We start from the raw sequence: 10,493 nt of genomic DNA, 5'->3' as shown, positions 1-10,493 counted from the left end.
CTGGTTTCTTATTATAAAAACAATGGAAGCCATAAGATGATATAATGTACTTTAAGGTGCTGAACATATATGTATAAAGGGTTTTTTTTAAAATAGTTACCAACTTAGTATTCTATAGCTAAAGAATATAGTCTTTAATGCTAGAGGTGAAATAATAATATTTCCAAATAAACAGAAAACTGACAGAATTCTTTGCCAAAAAAACCACTAGAAAAATATTTATATAAAGTTATTCAAATTAATAAAATATTTTTAGCAAAATTACTCAAATGTAAGAATGAATCAAATGCAAAGAAAAGATAAATACATGAGTAAATCTAATAAATATTATCTATCTAAAGCAATAACAATAATGTCTTAGTAGGGTTTTAAATATGTGGCAATGATAACATAAGAGATTAAAGAGAACTAATTAAGTTAAAATCTTCTAATGTTCTTGAATTCTCCAGGAAGTGGAAAGAGTACTAACTTAAACTACATTTAATAAGTCAAGACTTTATTTTTTCATCTCCAGGGTAACTATTAAAAGAATTTAAAAAAACATATAACTAGCAAGCAGAAAGAGAAGCCAAATTAAATGATTAAGAAATTAATCCAAAAGAAGATAAGAATGGAAAGAAAAAGGACATATAACAGGTGAAACATAGAAAACAGGTAGTAAGGTGGTAGATTTTACATCAACTATTTCAATTACTACCTAAATAGAGTTGTGGTAAGAATTGAATGGCAGAGCATATGAAAAGCATTTAATGCAGTGACTAGTATAATGTATAGTAAGTGCTCAATGAATATTAGATATTATTTTTTAAAATGCACCCCAAAAATAATCTAATTAAAAGACAAAATGATCATATTGGATTGAAAAACAGCTATACACTACTTACAAGGAAAATGTCTTAAATATAATGATACAGAAAAGTTGAAAGTAAAAAGATGAAAAAATAGATTGTTTGAAAACCCTAACCAAAAAGTAAAGCTGATCTAACTTCACAAAGAAAACTTTAAAGACAGGAATATTACTAGAGATTTTAGAAGACATTTAATCATGTTAAAAAGTTAAATTCATTAAGAAGACATGATAATTCTAAACCATGTGCATCTAATAACATAACTTCAGAATATACAAAGCAGTAATCAACAAAACAAATTCTCAAACATACTGGAACGTTTTAACACATCTCTATTTGTACGACAGGCACCTCTATTGATATACAGGCAGATTAAAATATCTACATGCATATTGAACACCACTTGTGCCCTGTCTCACATTTTCTTGGCCCACATTTTTACTCCAGTCATTGCCATAGCAATCAGCTCCCCACAATGCAACTGGACGGCGCCTTGCCTCCACTGCGTTATGCATCTCTCACTTTCTGACCTGGAATATCTCTGCTGCCTCTATATGGAACACTTGCAAAAATGTTCTCATTTAGTTTGATATATGCACAAAATCTATATGTACAAGTGAATTAATCTTAAAATTAAGAATTTTTGTTCATCAAAAGATAAGAGGGTGAAAAGACAAATCACAAAGTTGAAGAAAACATTTGCAATGGATGTATTTGACAAAATACTCATATCCAAATATACAAAGAGCTACACATCAGTAAGAAAAATACAGACAATGCAAATTTTTTTAAAATTTTATTATTGTTACACTTTAAGTTTTAGGGTACATGTGCACAATGTGCAGGTTAGTTACATATGTATACATGTGCCATGCTGGTGTGCTGTACCCATTAACTCGTCATTTAACATTAGGTATATCTCTTAATGACAATGCAATTTTTAATGAACAAAATTTTAAATACATACTTAGCACAATAGATATTGAGATGGCCAATATATATGTAAAACATTTTTCAACCCTGTTGGTCTTTAGATAAATGCAAATTTAAAACCACAATAAGAAACCATTACCGAACCTCCAGAGTGCCTACCATAAAAAGTTTTGACATACTAAGTGTCACCAAAGTATACCAACCATACCAAAACTTTTGTACACTACTGATGGGAGTAGTACAATCACTTTGAAGAAGAAATGTTTTGTTCAATGTATGCTTATGTTGAGCACGACAATTCTTTTCTAAAGATACACGAAACAGAAATGCATACATCTATGTACCAAAGATATGAATAAGAAAGTTCAGAGCAGATCCATTCCCAATAGCAACAACTAAATTGGAAATAAGACAAATTTCAATATCCAGTAGGATTAATATATAAATTATAGTATAATCATTTAATGGAACAGTAATCATCAATAAGAATCAAGGAACAACATTTCACACAAACACATGGATGAATCTTTACAATAATAATGTTAAACAAAAGAAACCAGACACAAAAGGGTATTTATTGATTGATCCTATTTACATAAAGTTTTAAAACAAAAAGGTAAAATCAATCTAAGATAATGGGAGTCAAAGTAGAAGTTACATTTCAGGAAAAGAAAGGCAGCGTCTAAGAAGGAATTCTGAGATGCTGGCAATGGTCTATTGTCTGATCTAGGTTGCAGTTTCATGAGTGTGTCACTTTGTAACAATACGTTGGGACTACACCTAAGATTTGTACACTTTGGTATACTTGTGTCATTCTTCAGTAAAAAGTTCATTTTAAACTACCTGAAAATACTGTATGTTTGTGTAGCTGTAGTGCAAAAAGAAGTCTCATAAGCTGCTGGTAAGAGCATAAATTGGTACAATGATTTTGGAAACAGTTTGGCATTTCCTATTAAAGTTGAAGCTATGCATATGCTTTGACCAAATGATTATATTCCTGGATAACAGGCCATAAAGACATGTACAAATGTGCACCAGGATACATGTTCAAGAATGCTTTTCCTGGCGTTAGATGCATAATTTAAAGAAACCAGACAGAAGAAAATGTCCATCATCTGTAAAACTGATAGTTAAATTGTGGTATTCACACAATGGAAACAATGACCTACACACAACAACATAAGCAGATCCCGCATACATAATATTCAGTGAAAGAAGTTAGTTACAAAATAATACATACATATTATCCCATTTATATAATATTCAAAATAGACTAAACTAAATTATATTTTATAGAGGTACATACATAGATGGTAAAAATGTAACTATTTCACTTTTCCAAACTCAGGAGCCAAATAGATTCAAAAAAGTAAGGAATTATCACAGAAGTCAGTCAGGCTAAGAGTTACCTATAGTGGAGGTATAGAATTGTGATTGAGAAGCATACAGGGCTTCTGGGAGCTGTCTATGTTTCTATTTCTTAACCTAGGTAATAGTAATACAAGCATCTGCTCTATAATCATTCTTTAAACTGATGGGTAAACTGTAAGTCCTTTCTGTATAGGTGATATATTTCACAATTTAAAAACAAAAAATAAGCCAGGCATAGTGATGAACACCTGTAGTTCTAGCTACTCAGGAGGCTGAGGGAGGAGGATTGCTTGACCCCAGGAGTTCAAGGTTGCAGTGAGCTGTGATGTGCCACTACACTCCAGCCTGAGTGACAGAGTAAGACCCTGTCCCAAAAAAAAAAAAAAAGAGGGAGGAGCAATCTAAATGACCATGGATGAGGGAATAAAGCAAATGTGGTATATACATATTATGAAATATTATTCAGCCTTAAAAAATGAGGAAATCCTGTCATATGCTAAAACATGGATGAAACTTGAGGACATTGTGTTAGGTGATGTAAGCCAATCACACATAAGCAAAAAAAATTTTAAACTTCATAGTTCCACTTACATCAGGTATTTCAATTAGGCAACACTCAAAGAATAACAGAAAGCAGAATGGTGGCTGGGGAAGGGGAAAATGGGGAATTATTCAATGGGTATAGAGTTTCAATTGTGCAAGATAAGAGAGTTCCAGAGATCTGCTGCACAGCAGGGTGCATAGAGTTAACACTACTGTACTGTACATTTAAACACTGTCAAGATTGTAAATTTTATGGGTTTTTTTACCATTATTTTGTGTTTTTTTAACCACAATTTTTAAAAACTGACCTATAGGACAAACTCTACACTTTCATGGCACATAAGCCCTTCCTGACCCAGCTCTTCTCCAGCCTCATCTTCCACCATTCCTGCCCTCTTTCACTCAACTTTATGCTAGATACTTTATGTAGTTCCGCAAACACCCATCCCTTCTCTTGCCCTCTTTGCATAGGTCACTACTTCTGCACAGAAAGCCCTGTCTCAATTTGTCCAATGATAAAATCTAACCTATCCTTGAGATCTCACCTCAAATGAAGCTGTCACTGCCTTTCCAGGACAGACGAGAGCTTCTCTTACCACCACACAGCACATTATACACCTCCCACTGAAGCACGTGGCTATTCGTGCTGTAGTTATGAGCTTGCAGACTGTGATCTCCTTTGTCTCACCAGGGTCTGGTATCTAGGAAGTGCTCATCCATCTACTTTCTCACTGATAAAGTGAGTGAGTGAGTGAGTGGTATTTTTTTTTATTACATAATGGTAAAGGGATCAATTCAACAAGAAGAGTTAACTATCCTAAATATATATGGACCCAATACAGGAGCACCCAGATTCATAAAGCAAGTCCTGAGTGACCTACAAAGAGACTAAGACTCCCACACAATAATAAGGGAAACTTTAACACCCCACTGTCAACATTAGACAGATCAACGAGACAGAAAGTTAACAAGGATATCCAGGAATTGAACTCAGCTCTGCACCAAGCGGACCTAATAGACATCTACAGAACTCTCCACCCCAAATCAACAGAATATACATTTTCTCAGCACCACACCACACCTATTCCAAAATTGACCACATAGTTGGAAGTAAAGCTCTCCTCAGCAAATGTAAAAGAACAGAAATTATAACAAACTGTCTCTCAGACCACAGTGCAATCAAACTAGAACTCAGGATTAAGAAACTCACTCAAAACCGCTCAACTACATGGAAACTGAACAACCTGCTCCTGAATGACTACTGGGTACATAACGCAATGCAGGCAGAAATAAAGATGTTCTTTGAAACCAACGAGAACAAAGACACAACATACCAGAATCTCTGGGACACATTCAAAGCAGTGTGTAGAGGGAAATTTATAGCACTAAAAGCCCACAAGAGAAAGCAGGAAAGATCCAAAATTGACACCCTAACATCACAATTAAAAGAACTAGAAAAGCAAGAGCAAACACATTCAAAAGCTAGCAGAAGGCAAGAAATAACTAAGATCAGAGCAGAACTGAAGGAAATAGAGACACAAAAAACCCTTCAAAAAATTAATGAATCCAGGAGCTGGTTTTTTGAAAGGATCAACAAAATTGATAGACTGCTAGCAAGACTAATAAAGAAGAAAAGAGAGAAGAATCAAATAGATGCAATAAAAAATGATAAAGGGGATATCACCACTGATCCCACAGAAATACAAACTACCATCAGAGAATACTACAAACACCTCTACGCAAATAAACTAGAAAATCTAGAAGAAACGGATAAATTCCTGGACTCATACACCCTCCCAAGACTAAACCAGGAAGAAGTTGAATCTCTGAATAGATCAATAACAGGCTCTGAAATTGTGGCAATAATCAATAGCTTACAAACCAAAAAGAGTCTAGGACCAGATGGATTCACAGCCAAATTCTACCAGAGGTACAAGGAGAAGCTGGTACCATTCCTTCTGAAACCATTCCAATCAATAGAAAAAGAGGGAATCCTCCCTAATTCATTTTATGAGGCCAGCATCATCCTGATACCAAAGCCAGGCAGAGACACAACCAAAAAAGAGAATTTTAGATCAATATCCTTGATGAACATTGATGCAAAAATCCTCAATAAAATACTGGCAAACCGAATCCAGCAGCACATCAAAAAGCTCATCCACCATGATCAAGTGGGCTTCATCCCTGGGATGCAAGGCTGGTTCAATATACGCAAATCAATAAATGTAATCCAGCATATAAACAGAACCAAAGACAAAAACCACATGATTATCTCAATAGATGCAGAAAAGGCCTTTGAAAAAATTCAACAACGCTTCATGCTAAAAACTCTCAATAAATTAGGTATTGATGAGATGTATCTCAAAATAATAAGAGCTATCTATGACAAACCCACAGCCAACATCATACTGAATGGGCAAAAACTGGAAGCATTCCCTTTGAAAACTGGCACAAGACAGGGATGCCCTCTCTCACCATTCCTATTCAACATAGTGTTGGAAGTTCTGGCCAGGGCAATTAGGCAGGAGAAGGAAATAAAGGGTATTCAATTAGGAAAAGAGGAAGTCAAATTGTCCCTGTTTGCAGATGACATGATTATATATCCAGAAAACCCCATTGTCTCAGCCCAAAATCTCCTTAAGCTGGTAAGCAACTTCAGCAGTCTCAGGATACAAAATCAATGTGAGTGGTATTTTATTAGAAACCCAGAACTTGGAAGGAATAGAGAATTTTGATAGCCAGGCTGACACAAATATTGTCATTGAAAGAACTCATAAGACAGCAGGAGAAAAAGAATAGAAGGTTGAGGCTGGGTGAGATAGTGCCAGTCATCTATCAGGTGGTTCTCAAGGAACCCAGGCCATACAGAAAAGGTTATAAAAATTAGGGGAAGCTGAGCAACTGCAAGAATACACAGAAATAGTGGCACGTGAGGTCCCACAGCACAAAATGAGGATGCAACTAACTGCCCCAGCGTAACACAAAAAGGATGTTATCATTTTCACAAGGCTGGGAAACCCCAGGGCACAGAACCACTGCTTCTCACAGTAGGGGCTGGGAACAGAGTGGTGCCTCCCAGAATCCCTCTGATAAGGATTGAGGCAGGTGGAAGACTGTTCCAAGTGCTGAGAGGTCCTCTTTTTATTTATTTGGCCTTTTAGAGTCCTGGAATAACTTAAAAGAAGACAATTCTGGTTCACAAACTCTTGGAAGAGGTTAGTGATCTTGGGGGCTAATAATGTCAATATTAATAACTAACTTTGAGTACTTACTATGCCTGATGCTTTCCCCAAAAAATATCTAATCCTCACTATCATTAAGCCCATTTTACAGATGTGGAAGTGGGGAGCTAAGAGAGATAAAGAAATGCACCCAAAGTCACAAAGCTGATAAAGGGTGCTACCAGGATTCCAATGCAGTCTGATTCCAGAGCTCTTAACTACGTATTTAATACTTACTTCACCTCGTTCCCAAATGCATGGTGTGAATAAGGCTTTTGTAGGAAAAAGATGTACCCTTTCCTAAGTCTCAACAATGTAATCTTTGCTGTTAATCAGGGACATTTGTCCTGAGAAATTCACCGCTCCTTTCTCTTTACGACATTCCCCTTACAGGGACTGAAAAATCAGTCTTTCACAAGAGATCTTGATACTTAGAGCACTTCCCTATGGCAGCATCAATAAACTAGCCAAATGTTCAAAACTGTGTCAGTTGTGCATAACTTCTAGGGGAAGGAGAAAGTTTTTCCTGGATGTATGTGTTAAGAGATAAGGAAATACAGGAAAAAAGAGCAAATGAAAGGCAGAATCATTATCTGGGACAACATTGATTTCAGATCCTGGAGGGCTAAATCCAGGACTACTCAGAAGTCCTGAGTAGTCCCTCAATTAAGGGAGTACTCACTCTAACTGAAAACACATAAGGGGGGGCGCATAAAAGAATCTTTGAGGCTTGGCCCTCTGACTCCTGCCACACTGCCTCAGGAGTTGGCTGCCTCCATTCCTGGCAACAACCACAAATCGAATGAGCTTCGTGTAAGCATGTGAAAAGGACAGTTTGTGACATAACAGACTTCTTCTAAATCCCACCAGATATGAGATCACCGTTGATAGATTTGATTCTAAGATGCAGGGAACTTTCCATTGCTGGCCTTGCCAATGCTGAGAGCTGATAGAGGGACAGGCAGCATCACAAGGTTTAACGAAAGAACTATCCCAGATTTAAGGGTCTCTACCCAAACCCATGGGAAAGGGATGATTTAAGGACTGCTTAGAATGAACACTGAATAAACGGGGAGACTGGTGAAAGGAGGTAAGACAGAGCAGGAAACAACATAAACCCAACTGTGCTCGGATCTGCAATGAATCTGCAATGGAAGCAAAAAAGCAAAATAAGGGCCGGGTGCAGTGGCTCACTCCTGTAATCCCACCACTTTGGGAAGCCGAGGTGGGCAGATCACTTGAGGTCAGGAGTTCAAGACCAGCCTGACCAACATGGCAAATCCCAGTCTCTACTAAAAGTTCAAAAAATTAGCCAGGCGTGGTGGTGCGCACCTATAGTCCCAGCTACTTGAGGCCTCACCTGTGAGGCCTGAGACTATAAAAATCCTAGAAGAAAATCTAGAAAAAACTCTTTTGGACATTGGCCTAGATGAAGAATTTATGAATAAGACCGCAAAAGCAAATGCAACAAAAACAAAATTAGAAAAATGGGACTTAATTAAACTAAAGAGCTTCAGCACAACAAAACAATCAACCTACAGAATGAGAGAACCTACAGAATGAGACAGACCTACAGTACAGACAACATATAGAATGAGAGAAAATACTTGCAAACTATGCATTCAATAAAGGACTAATATATAAGAAACCCAAACAAATCAACAAGAAAGAAAAACAAATAACCTCATTTAAAAAGTGGGCAAAAACCATGCATGGTGGCTCACGCCTGTAATCCCAGTACTTTAGGAGGCTGAGGTGGATGGATCACTTGAGGTCAGGAGTTTGAGACAGCCTGGTCAACATGGTGAAACCCTGTTTCTACAAAAAATACAAAAAATAGCTGGGAGTGATGGTGGGTGCCTGTAATCCCAGCCACTTGGGAGGCCGAGGCAGGAGAATCGCTTGAACCTGGGAGGCAGAGGCTGCAGTGAGCCAAGATAGCGCCACTGCACTCCAGCCTGGGCGAAAGAGTGAGACTTGCCTCAAAAAAAAAAAAAAAGAGCGAAGGACATTCACGGACATTTCTGAAAAGAAGACAAACAGCCAACAAGCATATGAAAAAATGCTCATTACTAATCATGAAAGAAATGCAAATCAAACCAAAATGAGTCACCATCTCACACTAGTCAGAAAGGCTATTAATAAAAAGTCAAAAAATAAATAACAAATAATGGCAAGGATGCAGAGAAAAGGGAATGCTTATTCACTGTTGGTGGGAGTGTAAATTTCTTATGAAAAACAGTATGGAGATTCTGAAAGAACAAAAAATAGAACTAGCATTCAACCCAGCAATCTCACTACTAGGTATCTACCCAAAGGAAAACATATCGTTATATCTCAAAGATTCCTGCACTTGTATGGTTATCATAACACTATTCCCAATAGCAAAGTCATAGAATCAACCTAAGTGTCCATCAATGGAGGACTGGATAAAGAAAATATCTAATCACACACACACACACACACACACACACACACACACACACACACATATACACACCATGGAATACTATGCAGCCATAAAAAAAGAATGAAATCATGTCCATTGCAGCAACATGGATGGGCCTGGAAGCCATTATCCTGAGTGAAGTAACTCAGAAACAGAAAATCAAATTCTGCATGTTCTCTTTTATAAGTGGGAGCTAAACAATGGGTACACATGGACATGGAGATGAAAATAATAGATACCAGGAACTCCAAAGCAGAGGGATTGAAAAATTACGTATTGAGTACAATATTTCACTAGAAGCCCAAATCTCACCATTACACAATATATCCATGTAACAAACCTGCACATGTACCCACTGAATCTAAAATGAAATAAAAATAATGTTGAAAATCATAATAATATGGATTGTGCCTTATAAAATTGAGGGAAATGGTTTGTTGTTGGTTTTGCTCTGCTTCTACAGTCCAGGACAGCAGGATGATGTAAGGAAAGATCATGCAATTGGATATAAGTTCGATACCTAGTTATGTTTATAGCTTACAAAGTTTTTTCGAGTGATTCAAATTATCTGAGACTCAGTTTCTTCATCTGTAAAATAAACACAATAATATTTCTCAGGGTTGATTTGAGGGTGAATGAGATAAAGCACACACCTGAACTCTACCATGTGTCATAGGTTAAAAGATGCACAATATTTCTCATTTTAACCTCTTCACAACAGAAATGAACCTGATAATTAATGACACATTATTGTTTAATTTAGAACAATTTTATTCTTCCTCAGTGGCACATAAAGTAATGAGAGTCCAGGATAATTTCAAATAATGACAGCTGCAGGTATCAATTTATTCTCAAGCCAGGTGTGACTCTCAATGCACAAGTGGGTTACCCCAACCCCTCCAGAGAACACAAATATTCTCCTTTATACATTCCATTTTTTTCTCCATTCATTGGACTAACTCTTCCTCCCACAACCCTTATTACTCAAATTAGTGGAATAGAAAAAGTATGAGTTTCAGAACCAGACAAATTAAATTTTGGCTGTGCTGCTATGTGACATTCTGAACTTCCACTGAGTGCTTCATAATTGTGTATAATAATACTAACCCCAAAAGACTGTTAATAAAG

This window comes from Homo sapiens, chromosome 14 (genome assembly GCF_000001405.40).
Source record: "Homo sapiens chromosome 14, GRCh38.p14 Primary Assembly".
In the NCBI taxonomy this organism is placed as follows: Eukaryota; Metazoa; Chordata; class Mammalia; order Primates; family Hominidae; genus Homo; species Homo sapiens.
Note: the sequence above shows the minus strand (reverse complement) of the source record.